A 26,861-nucleotide genomic window follows, 5' to 3' on the forward strand; every position below is an offset into this window, starting at 1 on the left:
CTTTAGTTTCTATCTTTCCTTCTTGTGTCTAATTTTCCGCTTCTTGGTTGTTCTGATCTCAGCTATTTGCAATAGTTATATATAATTTAACATTATACAAAAGTATTGTCATATCAAACATAGTGAAATGGATTCCAAAAACACCATCTGGTATTTGGGAATGCACTGTGAGTTGGGAACGTGAGAAGAGATATTCTTTGCCACTTTGCTTGGGACCCAGCCATTAGCAGTGTAATTGCCAAGAAAAGGTGACAGGCTCCAGGCTTAAAACAAGTGGGTTCCTCCCCCACCAACCCCCTTCGCCTATTAACTCTTGTGAGTCCTAAGCCAAATTAAAAAGGACTCTGAGGACAGAGCAATGGAGAACAAAAAGAAAAGAAAAGAAGAAAAAGAAAGAAAAAGAACAACAGAATCTAATGAAAAATAGAGAAAAATATCTGCTGCATTGTTGTCATCATTGTTTTGTGAAGACAGTAGAATAAGAGGAAGTAAAATGAGTCCGATACAGGAGGGTGCGAACTGGGGATCAGGTTAATTGTGCTTTAAAGTTATGGGGTCTTTCAGTGGATTTGCATGATGAGAGTTTTAGTCCAAAGCCTGTTTCAAAATCCTCATTAGTTTTCTCTAATCCACCTAAAATTATGAAGGCCTGGATTGTGAAGGTCATCTGTGATGATTCAACCCTGTTTAATTTCATGGGGGTTTGCACCCACTTCTCTATATGAAAAAGAGAATTAATAATTTTGAATTGTCTTCTCTATCGACAATTTTGGGGACTGTCATGGGAGAGAAACAAAGAAATGCAGACTGTACACTTTTATGTACTTTGCTTAACCAATTTGAAATGAAAGCAGTTTTTTTTGTTTTTTTTGTTTTTGTTTTTTTTTTGTTTTTTTGCATCCTGTGTACCAAGGAAAAGGAGTTAAGTGACTGGACAGAAATCAGAAAGAGGACTTCTTAGCAGGAGATAAAAATAAGGAAACAGCAGGAAAAAAAAAAGCATTTAAACCTCTCATAGCTATACTCAATCTGGCATTCACAACCTGAGTCTGTATCAGTTTGAAACTACAAAAATAGTTTACAAGGGTCACAGTCATTTTTTTCTACTCAGTGTGTCAGAAGTTGGGATGTGCGACCCAGAACTGCCATTCCATTACACAGAATAAAATGATATCTGGTGGGTGGATCGAAAGCTTGCCAAAGAAGACACAGTGAAAGCTAACCCTCTCAGTCTAGCTCCTGTTTTTAAATATTTATATCTCTGGCAGACTTTTTGGGGGTAGAGGAAACTGAAAGCTCTTTTGCTATCTGTCATTTCACCCAGGCAAATGAGAGAGAGTCTCACGACTTGATTTTCCTCGAGTTTGGCACCAGGAACAGGCGATGGCGTTTCTTTGGGATGGTGAATTTCTCTTTGTGGAAAAGTGGCCGGGACCAAGGATTTTTACAAGAGCCAACAGCCACTTTCCATACCCGCTTGGGGCAGGGCCAACTTCCCATTAGCACTGCTGTTACAGATCGGGCCTGCTTTGCAGCCGGCCAGTGCCAACTGTGGTCATGGCCTGTTAGGAAACCTACGAGGAAAGCCACCGTGAGCCTGGGGTGGTGGGAAGTGTATCGCTCTAGATCCTGGGCAATCTGGCTCACTAGCTTGCCTCTCTCGTGAATTCTCTCTGTGATCATTAGTTTTCTTCTTTTCCTCCATCCAACTCTTAATTCCCTTCCCCAAGGAATCGGTCTCCAAAGTCAATTGACTGCTGCTTTCTTCTCTGCCTCACCATCATCTATGCCCCTTCCTTAGTTCAGGGACTAGAATATTGCATTAACCTTCTAACTTTGTAGGGCAATACTGTAGTGTGTATAGCAGTGGTGAGGAGCAGGGGCTTTAGAATCCAATAGACCTGCATCTTAATCATGACTAGGCTACCTCCTCATCGTGGCCTCTGCCACAAAATAGGAGAATAGCTTATTTCTAGCAGGAATGTTGCATGGACTGCATGAAACAGTCAGGAGAGGATCTAGGACACTAGCAGTCACCTAGTGAGCACTCAGAATACTACAATTGTTCTTAACATAATCGACTAATGCATCCAGTTACATCAGAGAGCCTTTTAATGCATCCCTTTTCAGTACCAAGTATCGTGTTATGCTAAGGATGCAGATAGATAAGATGCAGAACCTGCCCTCAGGGAGTTCTCCATTGAGAGACAAATTCATCAACTAAAAAATCTCTGTAGCTTTCTTCCGCTACTCACATGCTTTTTAATTTCCAATTTTTATAAGATTTTTTACAGCATTGTTTGGCAATAACAAAAACAACAACTGTAATAGTAGCGACCACTGACCTGACCTTTCCCATGGGCCAGGCCCTATAATGATACATCTGCATCTATTACCTATTTTGTTCTTCAGATATATGCTACCAATCATGATTAGCAAAAGAAAAGCTGGGGAACTGGACACACTAAGTAACTGTCCTGGGAATACACAGCTGTGATACGTGTGAACCAATGAAGAACAGGAATCATTTCTTTTTGTGTTCTTAGTTGGACAGATGAACCTGATTCAAAATTCCAGGATTCTATTCTGATACTGACAGTGGCTAGCTTGTTTCAGCCATAGGGACCATAAAAAGTATTCTTTCACCAATTTTTTAGCATGTACTATATGCTTTTTGATGCTCTGCTAGACACACAAATGATTCAACATAAACTCTCCCCTTAAGAAGAATAAGGACAGTGGAAGGGTAACAGGATGCATTAGAGCATTTCAGGAGATGGTGTTTCTCTACTCCAGCTAGGACTGGCCCAGAAGAGACTATCAGAAAGGGTTTGAAGTATGAGTGATAACGAATGTGCAGAAATGATGAGGAGAGGTGTTCCAGGTGGAGAGAAACATATGAGCAGAGGCTCGTAGATAGGAATGAGTCAGGTGTGTGCTGATAAGAGTTCAGGGCTCTTGCAACAGACCCAAGTTAATGAGGACATGAACTTGGACAGTGTCAGGACTGAGGGGAGAGAATGGGCGTCCGGGACAATGGTACCTTGCCAAATTTTATGTGCAAATTTGTTGCTTAATAAATATTCCTTGATGAGGACAACATATGCTGTTACTTAATAAATATTCCTGATGAGGAAGACATGTGCTGAGCTGATGGAAAAAAAAAAAAAAAAACGTAATCACTCAGTGCTCAGTTTTTCTGTTCACTCCCAAGAAACCATTCATTGACTTAAGCAGCCAAACACTCATTAAGTAAATGCTCTGCACTACACTAGGCACTGAAAATACAAAGATGAACAAGATATGCTCTGTTCCTTTGAGGAGATTACAATCCAGGGGCAGAGGCAAGCAGATAAAGAAATAATTCTAAAGTGCTGTGGTAGGGCAGTACAAAATTATGAAGCAGGAACCCTGGGGGCCTAGACAGTGATGTGCTTAACGTGGCCTGGGGCAATGAGAGAAAGCAGCACCGAAAAATTGAGGTTAGAGTTAGGGATTGAAAGTCATACTCTTCAAAGCACTTTATGAATCTGCAAAGCACTGTATGAATGTTACCTGTCATTTTCCTATTATTTTTCACAACCACAACTTTGAAGTTGAGTCAGCCTAAGAGGTTGACTTTATTTTTAGAGGTGGAAGAATACCTTAAAAATCATACGGTCGGTCCACTGGTTTTCAGATATTGCAGGTGAATGTGTGTGTGTGTGTGTGTGTGTGTGTGTGTGTATTGCTACTTTATTAATAAAATGTTATTTCATAATTTAAAATTAATAATATTTACTTCTTCAAGTTCAGCCACAAAGAGCAATGAAGTTATTCTGATGAATGCTAACATTTGATATTGGAATTATGGATGATATTTGCAAACACATCAGCCTCAGTTATTGTCTTTATTTTGGCATTTTGATTTGAATGCCTGGCCTCACGGAAATTCTGATGGCACTGATAAGTAGTGAAAGTGGTAACATCTGTGGGCTTCTTGTTTGTTTGTTTTTTGTTAACAGCTTGACTCACAATCTCAAGATACTCTTCATTTAATCTGAGCCAGAAGCTTGAAGGCAAGATAGTGAGACACTTCTGTTTCAAAGTTGAACCAGTAACAATACCGATGATAGTCCTCGATATTCTTTGACATATATATGACAATCAGACACAAGGAGCCCAAAACTTGCACCAACATTAAATTTGTCTATAACATGTGATTCACGGGGATCAGCATGTCACAAGTTCACACACAACTGAATTAGATTGTTACAGCTTGACAACAGGACTGGCCAAGTAAATGAGATATTTGCCTGCCACTTATTTGGAGTACCTGTGACTCACTTGTGCAATTTTAGATTAAAAGTCTGAATTCCAGAAAGACCATTGCAGAGCTACAATCTTCCTAATCAACGACATACTTATAAGAAATTAGAATGTACATGCAGATAAGCATTATTATTTTTTAAACACCCAAGGGATTCCGTGGGCAGTGGAATTATTGGTCATTTGTGGTATTAGTATTTTTCTGTAATAAAAATTTGATGAAAATTATTTTTAAAATATTTCCACAGAGATTGTTGATGTTTTCTTCTGAGTGCATATAAAAATTAGTTGCCTAGCAGCTCAAATAATTACGTTGTCGGTCTCCAATATAAATATTATTTGTAAGAAAATATTTATTATAAATATTAATAAATATTTTATATTTATGTTAAAGAATATACTTAAGTCTCTGTGTGTATACATATAGAGACAGAGAGAGAGACAAGTATATTCTTTTACATAAATATGAAAAACAGACACAAGGAACCCAAAACTGACACTAACACTAAACATAGATTTTTATTTCAACTTTCAAAATGCAATCATGTGCTCTTTAATGACATTTTGGTCAATGACATACCACATATATGACAGTAGTCCCATAAAATTATAATACGGTATTTTTACTGTACCTTTTCTATGTTTGGATATGCTCAGATACATGAATACTTACCATTGTGTAACAACTGACTACAGAATTCTGTAGAGTAATATGCCGTACAGATCTGTAGCCTAGGAACAATAGGCTATGTCATATGGCCTAGGTGTGTAGTAGGCTATACCATCTAGGTTTGTGTAAATACACTCTATGATGTTGGCACAACAAAGGTGCCTAAGGACGCCTTTCTCAGAACGTATCCCTGTCGTTAAGCAATGGATGACTGTAGTTAAAATATGTTACGAAATGAAATTTGCATCTAACACTGCCACAACAAAACAATTTAGTTCCATAAAAACACAGCTTGAAAACCAATGGCCGACTCCTAGACTTCCCCAATGGATCATATGCAAGGTAATTTTAGGTGGTATACATTCTTTTTTGTTAATAATGGTATATTTTTTAAATGTGCATTAAATATTGACTTTCACATTTGCTATCATGATATACATTTTCTTTTACTATTAAATGACTTATAAAATTAAGAAAGGTGAGTTAATTTTTTGGAACTTTTATTTTTAGATACAGGGGGTACACGTACAGGTTTGTTACATGGGTATATTGCCTCAGATAATGAACCCAGTACCCAATAGGTAGTGTTTTGACCTTTGTCCCCATCCCTCCCTCTCCCCTCTAGGGTCTATTGTTTCCGTGTTTATGTTCGTGTGTGCTCCATGTTTAGCTCCCACTTATAAGTGAAAACATACAGTATTTTGGTTTCTGTTTCTACATTAATTCACTTAGGATTATGGCCCCCAGCTCCATCCATGTTGCTGCAAAGAATATGACTTCATTCTTTTTTATGAATGCATTGTATTCCATGGTGTATATGTGCCACGTTTTCTTTATCCAATCCACCATTGATGGGCACCTAGGTTGATTCCATGTCTTTGCTATTATGAACAACACAGCGATGAACATACAAAGTGCATGTGTCCTTTTTGGTATAATGATCTATTTCCTTTTGTATGTACATCCAGTAATGGAATTACCGGATGGAATGTTAGCTCCGTTTTAAGTTCTTTGAGAAATTTCCAAGCTGCTTTCCACAGTGGCTAAACTAATTTACATTTCCACCAACAATGTATAAGCATGCTGAAGTGAATTAATTTAAAGCAACTAATAGCACAGGTGAATACAGAAAAAAAATATGAGGGTAATAGATAAATGGCTGAAGTTTAGTAAACCTTAATTTAATATGTCCCACTTGTCAATTCAAGTGGGGAACTGGAGGACAAAAATGGTATTCTTTGGTGGTAAATGAGGACTTGCCCCCATTTATCCTCATTCCTAATCTAGGGGTGGTATCTTTTTCATGCTACAAGAGGTCAAGCATGCTCAGCCCCAAGCTCTAATGGTGTCATGTAACATATGTACCAAACCAAAAAAGACTTTTAAGTCTCAACTGACAATCTAAAACTAAGCCAAGACCAAATATCTGTAAGCACAACTTCCTTGGGCTTCCCTGAGCATATCTGGATATTTTCAGTTGCTCAATATGGAAAACAGGATACACAAACAGGCTTAAAATATAAAAGACTATATTGGTTCCTGTCACTGAAAAGTCCAAATATAGCATGGCCTTCAGTCATGGCTTGATCTAGCAACTCAGTCACCCAGATTCTCCATTCTGCCTTCCTTGGAGTTTTAAGGCAAGAATCTCCCTAGTCTCTTCCCCGTTTATATCTAACAAGAAACAGTCTCAGCATTCCCAGAAAAAAATAAAAATAAAAATAAAAAAACAAAGTCAGTCTGTTTGAATCCATGTCCATCCTATGACCCATTCTCAAACCGAAACTGTGGCCAGAGGGTAGGAGACAATGCTTGAATTAACACAGTCATGTGTCCACACCTGGAGTGGAACCTGGAACCCATAAGCTCTAAAAGGCAATTAGAGGTTGTTGGGATTGGAAACAGGTGAGAATAAAGGCTGGCAATGCAACCACAAATATGAGGAAAGAATAGTAATGTCACTGTAATGAAAAGTCTCAGATTTGATCTTGGAAAGATATTGGATACTTCCAAGGATTGGTCATAGTCTTCAGAGATATTTATGAAGTACTCTTATATAAAGAGAAAAAAGTGGTGTGTCTCTAGCTACCATAGATATGCATGGCCAATGTCCACCAGGATATCTGTATGAATTTCTTCTTATTTAATACCACTTTGGGAGTATATATCCCCACTACCTTCGAGGCTGGGTCATTGCCCTACTTAAGAATTTACTTACTAGTGGCTTTTTAAAATGAGAGGGTAGTGGTATAAAAATAATCCAATAGAATGTTATCTGGAAGCCAAAAAATAAGTAAATAAATAAAACCATAGTTTTGCTATTTGGAGTCGAGATTTAAGGTAGAGGAAAGTTAAATGGCTCTAAGAGGCAAAGAGCTGTTTTCTAATGAAGGTGTTGGCTCCCATCCTAGTTTGCCTTTTTTTTTTTAGGACTCCCTGCTAGCCCTCAAAAACCTGCCTTGAGGGCAAACTCTTCACAGTTCAAAGTTTTGCCCTCGGAAGTAAGGCTGCATTTTAATAGCAGCCAAAAATGGGTGCAATTCCTGGGTAAGTGAATTTCATCCAGCAGTAAGCAGGTAGAGACGGATTGGGGAGAGTTTTGGATCTTTCCCAAAGCCTCTTGAAAACGTAACATGTCAGTGGCTGCTTTCAACGTTTATAATTGGAAGACTGCGAATCATAGTCAACTGAAATGTATTAAGCAAGGTGCATTCGCTTAAATTATTTTATCTAACCCTCGCATCAAGCCCATGAGGTATATACTTTACCCCATTTCACAGATAAGTAAACAGAGGCTGAAGGAATCTCAATGACTTGTTCCCCAGCACACTGACAGCACACTGTTGCATGACCTTGAGTCAGTCCCTTCTTTCTCAGAACCAGGTCTCTGTCAAAGGAGGCCCTCGGCCCTGGGAATGCCTTCCCAGCTGCCTCTAGCCCTCCCAGGCCTCAGAATGCTTGTTTTGGGCCCTCCTCTTCCAGGCTGTGAGGTCCAGATCCTGGGCAGATGTCTCTCACCATATGCTGAGGGTGATTTAACAAGGCCAAATGGGCAGCCCCGTGGTTAGAGGCGCTCTCGTTACATATACGCCGGTTGCTGCGGCCTGGCCAGCTGTCCCAGCCCTCGCCCGCTCCTTCTTGGAGACAGCAGCCTGCAATTGCAGATGCCAAGCAGCGGAAGATATTTTTAAAGCTACAGCATCTGTCTCCTTGGCAGCCTCCACCCACTGGTGGGCCGGGTGTTTTGGAGTTGCCTTTGGGCACTTCACATGGTTTGGCATCTGATCCATTGTCTAGGCTGCCTTTTAGAGCTCAGCTTTTTTTGTGGGGTGGAGGGGGGGGTCCCCTAAAACCAACTTTTGATGATGACCTGGGTCTCCCCTCTCAGTGACATCAGTGTGTCTCTGGATCTTTTGTAATATTTTTTTTTAACTTTCCTTTAAAAAAAAAAAAGAAAAAACAAGTGATGAAAGAATGAAAGAAAGAGCATTTCCCCTCTGCCAGAGTGGGTTTGAATAGAAAACTGCCCAGTAGCTGTGCAGCTGCCCAAATCTCGCCCACCATGTCCACATTCTGACTAGTGCAGAACACGGCTTTCTTGGCATCCAAACTTCCCTCAGGCTTGACTATTCCTCAAATGTCTCCCTGGGGAGGTGAGGGATTTCTTTTTTCATTTTTCCCCGCTGCTTTTGCAAAAGACTGTGAAGCTTCCTGTCTACATGCAAATAGCCATTCAAAAAAACAGACACTGACACTTAATTCCCCCTGGCAAGCTGTATTAAGTTTTTTCCTTCTCTTAGAAAGGTGCATTTTAGGGAAGACCAGCTCCCAGCCTGCAAACTCAGGCCTGGGGACTTGGCCCTGTTTCAGAACACCAGTTTGAAGATGACTTCTAGTGAGGATTTCAGGCCTAGTGACAAGAAAATTATCTCAGTTGGGGCAACAGGCTCCTGTGTCATGGGGCTGGGCAAGGCACCAGCCTGCCTCTCACTCATGACTTGGCAAGAGTGCCGAATGTGGTCTTTTCTCCAGCCAACAGGCACAGGCAGTGGCTACCAGAGGATGCCAGTGGGCAGGAGTAATCACCAGGGCCCAGCCAGGCTGGCTAGAGGGTGGTGTTTTTAAGTAACCAGCATCACTGGGCACTCCTTGTCCCATTAAGCCACACTGATATAAGACCCAAAGAATCACTAACCCTCACCCCCACCCACAGAGCAGGAGTCTGGAGCTGACATAGGTAACTGGGGTGCATTTCTTCCACTTAAGGTCAATGAAAGATAGCAGTATTCCCGCCATATGATAAGGGAAATTTCTAACACTTCCTCTATACTGTTCTAAGTGCATTATACGTATTTCCCCAGCTAATTCTCACCACAACCCCATGAAGTTGCTATAATCATATTCTCTTTACTGATGAGGAAACCGGAGCACTGAGAGAGGCAGTAACTTACCCAAGGTCACCTAGCTACTATGGCATGGAACAAGGATCTCAAACCAAATGCTCCACCCCCAGAACCCATCTTCTTGACCCTAAAATAAAGATTGATAAAAATGAAGGCTGACTTAAGTTTTAATTCAACATTGAAAACCAGGCAACTCTGAGTTGTTGGTTCTTATTTGTCATCCTTAATTTGAAATGAAAGGGGATTTAAGAAGGGTGTTAAAGGTAGAATATGGGATTGATTCCAAGTATGTAGCCATTCCTGGTATTTTCACTGTGCTTACTGAAGCCAGTGTTCCTTCTTTGCCCCTGTTAGGCAGCAAGTTTGACCTCAGACTGGTGACCAGGAAGGAGCTTAATAAAAATGAGAGGTATTTGAACAGGAAGCCCCACCTGGGCACAGGCATTTCAGAATTTTTAGTGGCTGCAGGAAATCCAGTTAAAGCAGAGGCTACTTAAATGTATTAATTCATTCAATATATTTATTGGGTAACTTCTCTGTATTGGACATTGTTCTGGTTCTGCATGCTACAAATACAGCAATACAGAAAAGGTATAAGGAGTTCCAGGTAAGGGAAGGTTCTCAGTTTTGAATGGGGTGGTCAGATGAGTTTGAGTCTGAAAAGTTGGCATTTGAATAAGATGCTGAGGGAGGTAAGTGAGGAGCCATGAGGGTACCCAGAGGAAGAAAAAGAACAGCAAGTGCCAAGGTGAAGTGCAAAGGCAAAGTGCAAAGGTCAAATGCAAAAGCAAATTGCAAAGGTGAAGCACACCTGATCTACTCAAGGAACATCAGGGAGGCTGATGTGCTGAAAACAGAGTGAGTGGGGAAGAACAGTGAGAGATGAGCTCAGAGTGCTAATGGAGGTAGCAGAGACTGTAATCGTGATCTGTTTAAATAAGGGTAGTTTAATGAGCTATTCCTAGTGTACTCGGGTGAAGGAACAAAATTATCCAAAAGTCAAGGAACTAACAAGTCTGGAGGTCAAAGGAGAATGCAGTCTGCCCCTTCCTTGACTTGGTTTGGCTCTCCACGCCTCAGGATTTCCTTTTGTAAAGTAAGACTAGCCATAGGAATCAAGGCTTTCTACTGAGCAGGAAGATGTGGCAACTTCACAGGAATGCTAAAGGAGATGCTCACAAGGAGAAAGAAGGAGCCTCCTTTATGATTTAACACCCAAAACAATAGTTCCATTGCCTACTGTAGTGCCTGGAATTCCACCTTTAAATACCCAGCCCTTTAGGTTCTGAAGGCACTAAATGGAGGCGAGAGGGCACCAAACACAAACTGCACCTATTTCAAGATGCTGTCAAAAATCAGAATGTGCATCATCCTCTTAACTCTGTTCTCAAAATTCTTAGGCCTCCTTTCTAATGTCTCATAAATTCATACCCATGGAAATGCCTATCGAGTATTATTATACTTGGTTTCATAAAATGTTCAGAGCTACAGGGCCCCAAACTCTCACACTTAAAGCTTTTTAGAAAGATACCGAGGGTCTCCTCTGTGCTTTATTATTATTGTCTAATAGGCTTAGTGTGCAACAGTGCAACAGTCCAATAGGTCCAAGAAGAGGCACATTTTACTGAGTTTTACTTTCACATTGGGGCAATAAGACCTTATCTATCATTCACCAGCTGTGTGATCTTGCTGGGCTTCAGTCTTCTCATCCATTAAATAAGAATCACAGTTCTTACCTAGTAGTGATATTGTGACATTTAGACATTTAGTGACATTAGACACAATCTAGAAAAAAAAAAAAAAACTGGCAGCAAAGGAGAGAGGAAAGGAGACAGTGACACAGTAGGACCTGTGTCCTTCTCACCTAGGAAACAACAGAGTTGGCAGAGTCATTCATTCAGCACATATATTGTGAACACCTTCCAAGTGACAGTTGTTACACTAGCACCCACAAGCCTCAATATTTGTTTCCTCGTGGGGAAAATGTAAAGGATGGGTGCCTGAGATACACCGTGGCTTTAAGACTGCCTACTGGGTCTATTCTCTCTCACTGGGACAAAGGTGAATTCCAAAGCCTCTCTAGGGCAAGTTTCCATCTGTTGTTTTTCTCTTCCTAGCTTTTATTTATTTATTTATTTTTGAGATGGTGTCTTGCTTTGTCACCCAGGCTGGAGTGCAGTGGCATGATCTTGGCTCACTACATCTTCCCCCTCCCGAGTTCAAGCAATTCTCATACCTCAGCCTCCCAAGTGGCTGGGACTACACGCATGCGCCACCACTCCCTGCTGATTTTTGTATTTTTTAGTAGAGACGGGGTTTCACCATGTTGTCCAGCCTGGTCTCGAACTCCTGACCTCAAGTGATCTGCCCACCTCAGCCTCCCAAAGTACTGGGATTACAGGCGTAAGCCACAGCGCCTGGCCACTAGCTTTCATTTATTATTTTATTTCTGTAATTCTAGCAAGTCTTTTAAATTTGTTATAAAATTATAGCATCACTTTATACAGGAAAAGTCCACCACATTTCATTTTGATGGCCAACAGATGATAAACAAATACTCATGATTCTATTAACACTCTCTCTTTAATGCCCAATAGGCCCCTCCCCTGACTCTGTATGAGCTGTGGGGTCCCAGAGATCATTAAAGGAATACAAAGTGTTCACGTTATTAGCATGAGTTACCATTTATATAACATGTGACATACGCAAAGTATTCTCTGATGATTTTTTATAACTTCCTGGTCTTGAGCATGGACATTTTATTTATTATACAACTATATTGTTTGATTAAAACTGTGCTTTGGGGCAGATTAATACCGAAAACAATAGTTCCATTGCCTACTAGATCATACCAGCCCTAACCAGCCATTATTATAATGTCCTCCCTAGGAAGAAAATGTTTATTTGTTTTATTTATTTGTTTACTTGTGCATTTGGTATCAAAAGCAACATTTTACAAAGTACATGGCAAGAAAAGAATTACACTGGGGTTTTAGCCCAAAAAGTGTTGCATGGTCAAATAAGTTCAACAGTGAAATAGGCAACTTGTAAACACAACACAATTTTAGTTTGCAGCATTCCCTAAAATCACTGGTCAATTGAACAAGAAGAAAGGGTCTCATGAAGGGTAATCCTGAAGGCAAGTGTGGGCGTTTTGTTTCTCCTGATTTCTCCAAATCTGTTTGGTGGGAGTAGTAGTCATTCCCTTGCACCTGGATGAAAATTTTGGCAATCTTATGACTTTTCTGACATCTCTTAGCCAGTGACTCAACATAGAGATTAGAATCTATCCGTGGATGTTTCCTATCTCCTGAGCTGGCTGCTGTGGGCAGAAGACATGCCTTCACGCATTGGGAGTGCCTAGAGCTCACTTGCTCTGCCTCTCACAATCTCCCTCTCCTTTCCGTCTCTTCCTCCAGCTTGCTTATCCTGATGTCTGGCCCCTTCATGGTTGGGGCACAGGGTCAGGGATAGGGGCTAGAAAGGGATGTAGGAAAGTTCTTACTTAATAGGCATTTTCATTAGATGGCTTTGAGATCTCTGGGCCTGGCAGGAGTTGAGAGCTGCCCTTTTTTGGTCATGTGTACTTTCATGGGACTTTAGAGGGTCCCCTGCTAGGTCTGCCAGCTGCCTCTCCCTTGACTTCATGTCCCTCCTTCAGCGGACTGGGACTGAGTCCGCTCTCCTCAGCTGCAGCCGCTGATCCACATCACTGATGTCCTTGCTCTGAGGGCCGTCTCCACCGCCAGCTGCCCTTTGATGCCAGAGCCCTTTTGTAAAGGACCCTGCAGGAGAAAGATGGAAGACTCAGAGCAACTGAAGGGAGTTTCACGAAGGACTGGTTACAGGTGGAGTGGGCAGGGTACAGTGACACCAACAAGAGAGGTGACATGACCACACACTGGCCAGGCAGAGAGTTATCACCACCCTTAAGCCTAAGGGAACAAGCAAAGGGAAGCCCATAGGAGATGATCAACTAACAGAAGCCGGGGCCTTCCCTAGCTCAGTGTCTCGCCAACCCGCAACCCAGCAGGGGAACAGCCCAGGGAATGAATACACTGAGGTCACTCCTCCAGCTCTCCAATCTCCCTGGTGTCTCTTAGTGGCCAAACCCAAACAGAAAGCAGAGGGCAACCGAGTTGTCTCAAGGTGACCCCCAGAGGTCAGTCTCCTAGGGCACAGAGTGCAAAAGGGTGGAGAGAGATTTACTGGGGAAAATGGAGTATCCATTCCTGACCTCAAGGAGAGAACTTAACAGGTGTTCCAAAGCTTCACAGACTGGCCCCTGCCCACCACTTCGGCTGCTTCTTTGACTGTGTTCTCTCTTACTCTGCCCACTCCCACTGTTCCAGACATCTCTCCGTCACCCCAGTTGCATGCCTGTTCCCTCCACCTGCAGTGTTCTTTCTTCACTCTTCACCTGGTGCAATCTTTTTTCATTTTTTATGATTTATTTTAAGCATGACTTACTCAGGGAACCTCTCATTAAAAACCTATACTTCTTTTACACGTTGATTTGAGCATTTGGAATTCATTGATTATTTTCAATTACATTCATTTCTCTCTGCTTCTCCGGACACAAGCTCCTTGAGGGCAGGGGCTTTGTTTGGCCTCATCCACTCCTTTTTCCTAGAGCCTGCACATGGCAGGAGCTCAGGAAGAGTTTGCTGTCTAGGCCTCAGTGTCCTCAATTAGAAAAGGATGGACTTTTGATGCAGATGAAGTAAAAGGCCCCTTTGAGCTCTCCAATTCTCTGAAATGGAAATGCTTCTCCCACAAGTGAGTCCCTCTTGACTTCTCTGTCAAGAAACTTCTTCCAGGTTTATACATTAGCCAGAGAATACAGTAGGGGGAGAAGGTTAGGAAATCTCAGATTACTTACGAGAGGTGAAAAATAGCATTACGGTGGACGTATACAGTTTCGCAAGGAAATGAGCAATCTCTTCTTTGATGGAATATGTGAAAGCCAAACTGGAAGGAATAATTAGATTAAATAGTGATGTAAACTGGAAAGGAAGCATTACTTCCTGCACTGTACCAAATGTCTTACAGGTGTCAGTGGGACCCACCAGCTCAGTAATTAGGGTTTTAACTGTCTCCACTTAACTATGTGCAAGTGGTTGAAAACAGGAGTTTCATTGGGACCCCTGGCATCAGAACATTTTGGTGAAGTGAGCTTTGTTCTCAGTTACTCAGGGTAAAAAAAAAAAAAAAACAAAAAAAACAGGATTCATGGTGAATGGATGTGGTAATGGCTTCTTTTTTAACCCATGCTACCCAGGGCTCTGCTAGTGTGTGCCCTGGAGAACCTTAGACCACAAAGAGTGTATACCCAAGGTGTGCCCTGAGGATGGAGCCAGCATACAATACTCTAATTTGAGAGACAGCAAGGTTTTGTTGAAACTTGGCTCTTCCCCTAATTAGGTGTACAATCTTGGGGAAACCAGACCCTGAAATATCTGATGCACAAAGGGCACATCATGATACTCTGACACACCGAAAAGGTACCTGACATACAATGGAGGCATCATAAAATAGTTTTAAAATTTCAGTTTTGGAGCCAGGCAGACCTGCATTCCAGCCCAGGCTTTTACTAATATTGTTTGGCTGTGTCACCACCCAAATTTCATCTTGAATTATAGCTCCCACAATTCCCACGTGTCATCAGAGGGACCCAGTAGGATGTAGCTGAATCATAAGGGCAGGTCTTTTCCATGCTTTTCTTGTGATAGTGAATAAGTCTTATGAGATTTGATGGTCTTATAAAGGGGAGTTGCCCTGTACCTACCCCTTCGCCTTCTGCCATGTAAGACATGACTTTGCTCCTCCTTACTTTCCACCATGATTGTGAGGCCTCCCCAGCCATGTGGAACTGTGAGTCAATTAAACCTCTTTCCTTTATAAATCACCCAGTCTAGGGTATGTCTTTATTAGCAGCATGAGAACGGACTAATAGAGTCACTTATAATCTGGATGACTTTGGGCAAGTACTCCTCCTCTCTGACCCTCAACTGATGTGTATGAAAACTCAGGTATTATAATACCTGTATCCCAGACCTGCTCGAATAATGAGTTCTCTATAATATGGCAGCAATAACAAAACTACAATAGATGAATAGGTTGGTCCTACCTTATCCAAAAAGTCAGTCTCTTGTTTCATTCATTCATTCATTTATTTAGCAAGTATGTATTGAGGGCCTACTATGTGCCTGGCCCAGATTACACAGTAATCCCTGCTGTCAGGAGCCTTGCAGTCAAAGTGAGCTAGCATAGCAGCAGACTTCAAATAAATAGACAATTCTGTGAAGGAAAATGCATAGTCCTGTGAATGTGATGAATGGTGTGTGTTATTTAGATGACAGTGCTCAAGGAAGGCTGCTCTAAGGAAGTGATATTTAAGCTAAGGCTTAGAGGATGAGTTGGCATTATCCAGGTGAAATGTGGGCAAAAGAGTACTTCAGATTGTGGGAACAGGATGTGTGAGAGCTCAGAAGTTTGAAGGAGCTTGGAAATGAACGTCAAGATGGCTAGAGTTTTGTTAACAAGGGGAAGAGAGGTGCAAAATGAGACTGGACAGGTGAGCAGAGACCAGCTCACATGGATTTAATCCTACATGCAGGGGGAAGCCTTTCCCCATACTTCCTTTATGGGGCAGAATCCCTGCCTGCTCCTGTCTTGCTGACTCCCAAAATGACCTAGAAGAGCAGACAATGCTGGTCTAAATGGTGGAAGATCTGTGTCCTAATCTCAGATTTACCATCTTATCCTCATAAAGTGCCTCTTTAGCTGGTAGCTTTATTGTTTGACTTCCAAGTTTGCCTCTGGCAAAACAAGGTTCATTTGGGTAAAACTATCCCAAAGACATCATCCAGCCTAAAATTCTTACATTCCAAATTTCATATTCTTGCCAACTTCCATGGGTGTCATAAACACTGGGACAGTCACCTCCACTAACAAAGAGAAGGGCTGAGCATCTGCTCTGCTCATTGCTGCCCCACTGCCATCCGTGGAAAGTCTCAGGGGAAGTGCTTAGGAAGGAGGAGGAAACGCCAGGGCCTCACAAAGGATGTGCTGTCAGCAAGGGAAACAGCTGGCGAGGACAGAATGACAGTATTCAGGGCCCCTGCCAGCTTTTGGAGAGGGAAGAGAAGCGTTCTGCTCCCCAGGAGTGGAGGTGCAATGTGATCCCCTGGGGCGGAGCCTCTCTGAGGACACCTGGAACAAAGCAACCCTTAGATTATCCTCTTGGGCCTGCTCTGTTCTCTGATCAGTTTAGCTTCCGACCCACTAGTCCTTAGATTGGCCAAACCTCTTGCAATTTTGGCTGTGTTGGTACAGGCTAAGTCTGGTGGAAAGTTAAGGTAATTAACCAGATGAATCAAATTTACGAAAAAAGTTAAGTATACTGAGTGCAGGGCTTGAATGCACAGTTTGGCTTCCTGCAAGCATTAGCCTTACTAGCTCACTGCTCAGCTCTCCACGTCATAGGCTGGGTGGTCACATTATTCCAGAGGACTCTGCCATGCAGTTAGAATCAGAAGCAAACAAATATCATTCATCCAGCAAAGCTTTAATGAGAGTTACAACGTGCTAAGCCTATGCTAAACCCTAAAGCAGCAAACAAAGACATGATTAGTCTCTATCTCTGAGAATCAGGAGCTCATACCTGGTTAGGCAAATGTTCTTTCTTTTTAATTTTTAATTTTTGTGGGTATATAATAGATGTATATATTTATGGGATACATGAGATGTTTTGATACAGGCATGCAATACATAATAATCACATTGTGGAGAATGGGATTTCCATCTCAAGTATTTATCCTTTGTGTTACAAATGATCCAATTATACTCTTGTCATTATTTTTAAATGTACAATTAAGTTATTATTGACTATAGTCACCCTGGTGTGCTATCAAATAGTAGGTCTTATTCATCATTTCTAACTATTTTTTTGTACCCATTAACCATCCCCACCTTTTCCCCACTCACCCCCACTATTCTTCCCAGCCTCTGATAACCATCCTTCTACTCTCTATGTCCATGAGTTCAATTGTTTTGATTTTTCAATCCCACAAAGAAGTGAGAACAGGCAATGTTTGTCTTTCTGTGCCTGGCATATTTCATGTAACATAATCATCTCCAGTTCCATCCAGGTGGTGGCAAATGACAGGATCTCATTCGTTTTCATGGCTGAATAGTACTCCATTGTGCATATGTAACACATTCTTTAACCGTTTATCTGTTGATGGACACTTAGGTTGCTTCCAAGTCTTGGCTATTGTACACAGTGCTACAACAAATATAGGAGTGTAGCTATCTCCTTAATATACTGATTTCCTTTCTTTCGACTATATACCCAGCAATGGGATTGCCAGATGGTAAAGTAGGCTCTATTTTTAGTTTTTTGAGGAACCTTCAAACTGTTCTCCATAGTACATGTACTGATTTTCATTCCCATCAACAGTGTATGAGGGTTCCTTTTTCTCCACATCCTTGCTAGAATTTGTTATTGCCTGTCTTTTGGGTATAAGCCATTTTAACTGGGGTAAGATATCTCATTGTAGTTTTGATTTGCATTTCTCTGATGATCAGTGATGTTGGGCACTTTTTCATATGCCTATTTACTCTTTGGATGTCTTCTTTTGAGAAATGTCTATTTGAATATTTTGCCTGTTTTTCTATCAGATTATTAGATTTTTTCCTATAGAGTTGTTTGAACTCCTTATATATTCTGGTTACTAATCCCTTGTCAGATGAGTAGTTTGCAAATATTTTCTCCCATTCTGTGGGTTGTCTCTTCACATTGTTGATTATTTCCTTTGCTGTGCAGAAGTTTTTTAACATGACGTCATCCCATTTGTTCATTTTTCCTTTGGTTGCCTGTGCTTGGGGGTATTGCTCAAAAAATTTTTGCCCAGACCAACGTCCTGGAGATTTTCCCCAATGTTTTCTTGTAGTAGTTTCATAGTCTGAGGTCTTAGATTTAATTCTGTAATCCTTTTTTTTGTGGGATGGGGTGGAGGGGGGGATAAGGTCTCACTCTGTTGTCCAGGGTGGAGTGCAGTGGCTTGATCTCAGCTCACTGCAGCCTTGATCTCCTGGCCTCAAGCAATCCTCCCATCTCAACCTTCTGAGTAGCTGGGACTACAGGCATGTGACCATCATGCCCAGCTAATTTTGTTTACTTTTTGTAGAGACAAGGTCTCATTATGTTGCCCAGGCTGGTCCTGAGCTCCGGGACTCAAGTGATTCTCCCTCTTCATCCTCCCAAAGTGTTCGGATTACAGGAGTAAGCCACTGCACCCAGCCTAAATCTTTAATCCATTTTGATTTGATTTTTGTATATGAGAAGAAATTGGGGTCTAGTTTCATTCTCCTGAATATGGATATCAAGTTTTCCCGGCACCATTTATTGAAGAGACTGCCTTTTCCCCAGTGTATGTTCTTGGCACCTTTGTCAAAAATAAGGCAAATGTTTTAAAGTGGCAATCAGAAACTGGTGAACTGTAAAACAGTCAACCCACCTACAAGATGACCCTAATTGTTACAGGGTTTAGAGAAACAAGTAGCCAGTGCAGGCTGGGGTTGAAGAGGACAATTTGCAGAGGTGAAAGGCCTTAAAGAACAAGACACTCCAGCACCAAGGAAGAAAGAGGATAATCCCAATTTTTAGTTAAATTAATGAAAGCGAGGAGGTAAGACAGAGTGTAGAGAATTTAGAGGAATGCAAGGAACCACTACTAAAAAGTGCTGGAAGTTTACAAACTCAAATGTTTACCTGATTTGGGGGTCCCAGAGAGTAGTAGTGGGAACTAATCCAGCATGGCTGATGTCCTTGTAAGAAGAAGAAAGCACCACATGAAGACAGAGACACGCAGAGAGACCACCTGGGGAAGACAGAGGCAGAGATTGGAGTAATGCAACTGCGAGCCAAGGAAAGCCAAGCATTGCCAGGAAAGCACCAGAGCTGGCAAGAGTCAAGGAAGGATTCTCCCCTACAGGTTTCAGAGGGAGCATGACCTTGCCAATACCTTGATTTTGGACTTCTAGCCTCCAGAGCTGTGAGACGATAAATTTCTGTTGCTTTAAGCCACCCAGTTTGCAGTACTTGTTACAGCAGCCCTAGGAACCCCATACATACTCACAGGCATTCATTTAGCCTCAGTGGAGGTGCAATTATCCATCACAGAGACGGTGAGGGGGAGTAAAATAACACCTAGAAAAGTGCTTTACACTCCCCAGAAGGAATTACATTGCCAGATAAAGGAATTGTACCCACAACCTGAGTGAATAGTGGGAATAAAGGAGGTAGCAACTGACAGTGAGAAAGAACGGAAGAAACAGTTTCATGTAATCGAGTTACAAGATGATGTTCTTAGGGCTGGCCTTAATCCAATATGACTGGTGTCCTTATAAGAAGAAAACACCACGTGAAGGCAGACACGCAGAGAGACCACCTTGTGACGACAGAGGCAGAGACTGGAGTAAGGCGGCTTCGAGCCAAGGAAACTGTTTTACAAGGAACTGTTTTACAGCTCACTAGCTCCTGATTGCACTTATCAAGTTCACGGGTGAAGGTATAAGCTTTAGAATCAAACAGGCCAAAACTAAACCCTGCTCTGCCTCCTACCACCTGTGTGAACTGGGTTGAGTTATTTCCCTCTCTGGGCCATCATATTTTCAGCTATAAAGTGGAGATAGTAACTGAACTTACCTTATAGAGGCAAGTAACTTTTAAAAGAACTATGATACACAAAGCCCATAGCACAGAGCCTGGCCCCCAACCTACCAGGACCCAAGCTTTGCCTCTGGGGCCTCCCAAACCCACAGCTCTCTACAACATATGCAAGCTTCAGTCTCAGCGGAAATGCCTTCATCCACCTCCCCTTACCAGAATTCCTCTCATCCTCCAGCACCTACTCCTGTCCCCTTGACCATTCCAGCCCTCGTGGTGTCCCCACTCTGAAACCCTATAACACAAAATTGCCTTTCCCACCATAAGACCAGCTTGCCTTTTTTTTCTTTTCTTTCTTTTTTTTTCTTTTCTTTTCTTTTTTTTTTTTTTTTTTTTTGGCTTATAAACAACAGGAATTTATTTTTCATAGTTCTGGAGGCTGCAAAGTCCAAGGTCAAGGCACCAGCAGATTTGAGCCCACTTTCTGCTTCACAAATGGCACCTCCTTGCTGTGTCTTCACATGGCAGGAGGGGTGAAGCAGCTCTCTGGGATCTCTTTTATAAGGACACTAATCCCATTCATACTCTGCCCTCAGGACCCAATCACCTCCCAATGACCCCACCCCCTAACACCATCACACTGGTGATTAGGTTTCCACATATGAATTTTGGGAGGGACATAAACACTCAGACCATAATCTCTTGGCCTCTTTACAAACACCACAGTTTGGCACTAAGAGTGAAAAGATAAGGAGAGAACACTGCTTTGCCTTTTTTTTTTTTTTTTACATGCCCTGCCTTCTGCCCCAAGCTGTTACCCACATTGAAAGCCAAAGAAAGAGAAAAAAGAAAGGCAACATATTCCTCAACACTCACGCTAAGACACAGGAGATGCTGGGCACTTTCATTCCTCGTCATTTCATTTCACTGCACTTCACTCCATCCCCATGACACCTCTCTAATGTATGTGCCTAACCCCTGTCTCTCCCCACACTTTATGGATCTAGAATAGCCTCCTGGCACATGGTAGGTGCTCAGTAAAAGCTATTATACCATGATAATTGTATGTCATGTTATACCATGACAATAATAACCTTCAGCTCCTCATTTGGGCTAGTATGAGAGAAGAGCCAAAGAAAAGAAAGAAGATTCTATGTGTCTCTGAAAAACTGTCTGATGCTGCAGCCAGCAAAAAGGGAAGGTGGTGCTGCTTTAGAAACAGGCTTGGGAGCCCAGAATTTCCACATGCCTAGCACACCTTGACCCAAGTCTACTTCTAACACTACCCACCCCTGCCAAGCTAACCGTCGAGAGAATAATCTTATTATTGGTAACCTCTTCCCAACAAAGCCTCACCACAGGACAGCCTATTAGGCCGTCGGGCCTTATTAGTGCTTGTGGCAGCGCGGTCGAGTGTAACTGGATCTGGAGCCCTGTGCTAAATGCTCCATCTGGAGCTACTCTCTCTGAACACGGAGGAGGGCTGCACCCTCCTCATCCTTAAAAGTCTTCTAAAGAATGGCTCAAGTTTCCCAAACCTGCTCAAAGCGAAGACAGCATCCACCATCTGAGGCTCCTCACTCTTATGTAGACAAACCTAGCAAACAGTGGCAGAGACCTATTCCCCCTGGTCTTGTTCTTGAGAGGGGCACTTTGCTAATAGACTTATGAATTCTCTGTCTTCTGATAAATTCACTTTAAAAATATCTATTGAACAGAAATGATATGCCCGGCATCATTGTTGTACTGGGGTTACAGTAGTGAACAGCACAGAAAAACAATCTCTGTCTAGAGCAGCTTATGCTCTCCTGAGGGAGGCAGAGAATAAATTTAATTTTGAGAAAGTCAATTACAGGGACTGGGAATCCGTTGGCTGGGGCTGCCATTAAATTGTACCGTAAATTGCGTGGCTTAGACAACAGAAATATTTTGTCTCACCCGAAAGCTAAAAGTCTGAAATCAAGGTGTGAGCAGGGTTGGTTCCTTCTCAGGGCTGTGAGGGAAGGATCTGCCCCAGGGCTCTCTCCTTGGCTTGCAGATGGCTGTCTTTTCCCTGTGTCTCTTCACGCTGCCTTCCCTCTATGTGGATTTGTGTCCACATTTCCCCTTTTTATAAGGACACCAGTCAGATTGGATTGGGGCCCACCCTAATGATTTCATTTTAACTTGATTACCTCTGTAAAGACCCTATTTCCAAATTAGGTCACATTCTGAGGACCCGGGAGTTAGGAATTCAACACAGGAATTTGGGAAGGGACACAGTTCCACCCATCACAATGTTAGAAGGTAAGAGTGCTATGGGAAAAATGACACAGTAAGAGAGACAGGAGTACCAGGACACGAGGGCATGCTACTAAACAGTGTGGTCAGGAAAGAGCATCCAGATGGAAGGAAAGGCCCTAAGTTGAAAGCAGGCCTGGAACTTTCTAGGAAAGCAGGGAGACTAAAGTGGCTGTAGTAGGATGGGCAAAGGGGAGAGTAGTAGGAGCTGAGGTCAGACAGGTGAGCAGAGAGGAGCCAAGTCTTGTACTTCAGCCACGGTATGAACCAAAGTGGCTGGAGGGTTTTGAGAGGGACGTGATCTGGTTACTGAAGTGTAAAAAATTTTTCTCCTGTAAATTTTGGCCTTGGGGTTAATAGATGGGCCTTTGAGGTATTACGTTCCCTTTCTGCAGCACGCACAGTGCCTGACCATCTTTCACTGCATGGACTCTGGCCCAAGACCCTGTATCCTGGTGCTCTAAGCAGGATTTTTATGAGGCTGCATCTTTCTGTGTTCTGCAGACCTATTTCCTCAGACTTCTTGGGCCGTGAACATCACAGGTCTTCTGCGGCACAAACCAAACTGGCCACAATAGACCAAAGCATTTTAACGCTCCCCAACACCAGGCTCTTCTTGGCCGCTCATTTCTGTATCCTACCACTAACGCAACAAAGGAGGGAAGAAAGCCTTTAGCAAGCACCAAAGATAATAAATGCTTCTAAAATTGCCTTCTTAGGAAACAGAAACCTGTAAAGGCATTTACTAACTGTACAGTAAAAAGGTGGAAACAGTTACATTCCCAGACATGACCCAGTGATATGTCATTAGAGGAAACAATGTTTGCCTGTGAGAGTCATCACCCACACCCACTGTGACAATAAGAATTTGCTCACTTCTTTCTCCTGAGCAAGTATGGGGGCTTGGACCCCAATGCATAGCTTTATATATTAAGAATGGCTAACACTGACTGAGGGCCTCCCATGTGCCACGCATGCTGTAAACATTTGCTCATTTAATCTTCACAGATATTACTGTAGATAGTACTGTTCCCATTTTACATATGCAGAAACTGAGCCTCAGAGAGGTTATTTTTGCCAAAGATCACATAAGCAAGCTAATGAATGGTGGAGCTGGGGCTTAAACCCAAAGCCCCTCTCCTGCAGCTCAGGAACTCAATTTGCATGTCAAAATTCTGTTTGGTACCTTCTGTCATTTACTACCCATCTGAAAGTTTTCTTGTATGTTTCCTCACTCTCTGATTAAAAATATCATCCCACTATAGCCCCAATGTTTAAATATTAACACAGTATCCTACTCAATGCCCATCTCCAGTATTATTCCTTTATGAAACCTTCACTGATAGCCCCTTTCTCCCACAAAAGTTGTATTTATTCTCTTTAGACTTTAAAACTTGAGGAAAATGGACGTGTGTTTTGGAGTCAAATGGACCTGTGCTCGTATGCCAGCTTTGTGACTTCGGACAAGCTATTTACCTTCCCTGAATGTCATCTTCTCAATAGGTATTGAAATGCCTACCTCATTTGGTTTTCATATGGATTAAAAGAAATAATGTGTGGAAAGTAGCTGACCAATAGTAAGTGCTTATTATTAATAAATGTTGGTGCCTTCTCCTATCCTCTTATGACCCTCAAAGCATTCTGCCTTATAGAATAATTACTTGTGTCTTGACTTTGAAGGTATGGCCTATGTCCTACTCATTTTTGTTGCGCGCATAGGAATAACTCATAGTTGGCTCTCTATAAATGCTTATGGAATAGTGTAAGGTGCAAGTTAATCCTTCTTGAAAGGAGGTGGAAGGAAAGAGGGAAGGAAGGAAAGAAGGAAGGAAGGAAGAGAGGGAGGGAGGGAGGGGAGAAAGAGATAAAGAAAAGAAAGGAAGAAGGAAAAAAGAAAGGAAACCCCATGAATGCAATGGGTGGGAGGAAGAGAAGCCAACAGCTGGAGACCCACACAGCCAAGGAGGTTGAGAAATCACAAGGGCAAGTTCCTGTTTTCCAGAGTTGTCCAGAACTGGTTCCATCAAGAGTTGTATTCCCTTGTTATCTGCTGCATACATCAAGCGCACGAACACACATACACTTTCTTTTTTTTTTTTTTTTTTTTTTTTTTTTTTTTTTTTTTTTTTTTTTTTTTTGAGCTGGAGTCTTGCTCTGTCGCCCAGGCTGGAGTGCAGCAGTGCCATCTCAGCTCACTGCAACCTCCGCCTCCTGGGTTCAAACAATTCTCTGCCTCAGCCTCCCGAGTAGCTGGGATTACAGATACTCACCACCATGCCCAGCTAATTTTTGTATTTTTAGTAGAGATGGAGGTTTCACCATCTTGGCCAGAGTGGTCTCGAACTCCTGACCTCAGGTAATCCGCCCGCCTCAGCATCCTGAAGTGCTGGGATTACAGGCGTGAGCCACCGCGCCCGGCCAACACACATACACTTTTCAACAGCTAACAAAGTGGTAAAAGAAGGGCAGTTTAGCAAATCACTCCCCCAAGTGTTAAAGCCAGGACCACAGTGAGGAGTAACTCTGTACATGTCAAGAAGTTTCCTTTTGTTCCCTTACCCTGCCTCACTGTGGAAGCCCTAAATAGTCAGGTAATGGCGCATGACAGGGCAGGGTCAGGTCCCTCTTCCTCTGCCTGGGGAAGGAAAACCTAGTTCCAGGCAGGAGTTGCCAAGCTTTGCTCCCTCTCAACCTGCTGGTAGCAAATGAAGGAGAAGGAATGGAGCCCTCTGCTTTCACTATGCATAAGTCAATTAGAACATGCTGATTTCTCTAACAGGATTATCTTTGTCCTTCCCCAGAGCCTGTTCCATTAAGGAAGTAATCAATGACCTATCATTCGGAGATGTCTCTGTCACTCACATGCTGGACTCCTCCTTAACTCAGAAATCATGTAGTAACCTAAACAACCAAATGCAGAGTTAGTAATTTTTACTTTTAAAGTCATTTTTATGGCCATTTTGCTTCCACCAAAAAAAAAAAAAAAGTGTTTGAATGCTAATGGGAAGACCTGTTTTTTTGTGTGAGCATCGTTGCTATCATTTATTACTAGTCTCAGGTGTGATGCATTTCTAGCAAGACCAGGCAGGAAGGGAGAGGGGGTAAGGACATCCTTCATTCATGAGGTGAACAAAGAGTGTTTCCCATCCCCCCATCCCCTCCTCATCAAAAACTTGAAAATAATGCATAAAATAAACAATCCATCAATCATGGGGAAATTTGAATCACATGTAGCAGAATGCAAGGCATATCTGTAAAAGTATCAGTAGAGGATACTACAAATCCCCCAAAGCCCACCATAGCCAGAGTGATCGTCTTAAACCACTAATAGGATTACTTCCTGACCCGCTTCAAGCTTCTGCATAGCTTCCCACTGTTGTCAGGACAAAGTCCTAACTCCGTAACAGAGGCGACAAGACCTTGCTGTCTCTGGTGCCTGCCTACTTTCCTAGCCTCACCTCAGCTAATTCTCTGATTCCAATTCACTGTGCCATGTACACCCACTCACTCACACACACATATACAAGCTCACACACATATACAAACTCACACACATGCAAGCACATGTACACACGCAAACACACGAACACACTTTTCCCCTACCCCTACTGATCTTTCAGGCCCCAGATCAGATGTCACTTCTTCCAGGAAGCCCTCCCAGAAACCTTAAACTTAGATTAGATGCCTTTCTCGTGAGCTCCCATAGCACTTTGTACCGCTCCTCTTAACCCTTCTACCGTGCTTTGTAATTGCTTGTTTGCCTGTCTCATTCCCCTAACCAGACCACTGGATGAGGACCACATATAAACTGTCCACCATTGTTTCCCCAGGGTCTCAGGCAGGGCCTAGCTCAATAAATACTTTTCAATTTAAAAGTCATTGAAGAGAGTGAATTTAATATGATGTAGAAAATCTTAGGCAAGCCTGGCATATAGTAGGTGCACAAGAAATATTTGTCATTTGGAATTGAATTGAATTATAACTTGGATAATCTCAGGAATGCAAACCTGAGGTTTAATTGTATTTAAGGAAACTAATCACTGGTAAATAGTATAGAAGATGGTGTTCACCAAAGAAAATGGGTCATCATAGAACAGGCCAAAAAAAAAAAAAAAATTCTAAAGGGAAGAAATGACTGTTTTTGCTTGGCCCTGCAGAAGGGAAAGCCAGTGAATCTGTCAGTGACACTAGCTGGCCACTGGAAACAGGTGCCCTGCTGCAGGCAGGGGACATTCATCAGGCCTCATGCCTCCTTCAAAATGCTGGCCTCCTTTTCTCAGATTCACTGCTCACCAAGCATCCCATAAACTTCCCCTGCAGATTTTCCTACAGGGAGACCATGTGCTGACCCAAGCATTCCTAACCCTTCGGCAGCTCTGTTTCTCATTCAAAGTGAATAAATTGGCCCAGCTCACGCACCAGGCTAGTAGGAATCTGTCCTGAAACCCTGCTCTATTCTGACTTTAAGAACAAATATCATGTTTCTAAATTTACAGAACTGAGAACCAGGCCTTTGGACTCAGCA

General features: G+C 42.3%; 1 long non-coding RNA gene across 2 annotated transcripts in view, besides 1 other annotated feature; it reads right to left on the reverse strand.

The window, feature by feature from the left end:
* LOC105378764 (uncharacterized) overlaps positions 1 to 26,861 on the reverse strand; it is a 30,973-nt gene that overhangs the window by 2,070 nt on the left and 2,042 nt on the right. Inside the window, exons 2-3 of one of the 2 annotated variants that reach the window (XR_947440.3) lie at positions 19,160 to 19,268; positions 16,931 to 18,833 (exon numbers count right to left, since the gene is read on the reverse strand). This is a non-coding gene — a long non-coding RNA (uncharacterized LOC105378764). Of the gene's footprint in view, positions 1 to 16,930; positions 18,834 to 19,159; positions 19,269 to 26,861 lie in introns of those variants that run through there. The other variant, XR_947441.3, reaches the window with a different exon arrangement.
* Positions 7,558 to 8,091: an enhancer, noted in NCBI's record as "H3K4me1 hESC enhancer chr1:61368907-61369440 (GRCh37/hg19 assembly coordinates)". NCBI's record gives its function as "activates a minimal SCP1, AML or CMV promoter by ChIP-STARR-seq in naive H9 embryonic stem cells {active_cell/tissue: H9 hESC(naive)}" and the evidence as "EXISTENCE:reporter gene assay evidence [ECO:0000049][PMID:30033119]".

Source organism: Homo sapiens, chromosome 1 (assembly GCF_000001405.40).
Source record: "Homo sapiens chromosome 1, GRCh38.p14 Primary Assembly".
Taxonomy (NCBI): Eukaryota; Metazoa; Chordata; class Mammalia; order Primates; family Hominidae; genus Homo; species Homo sapiens.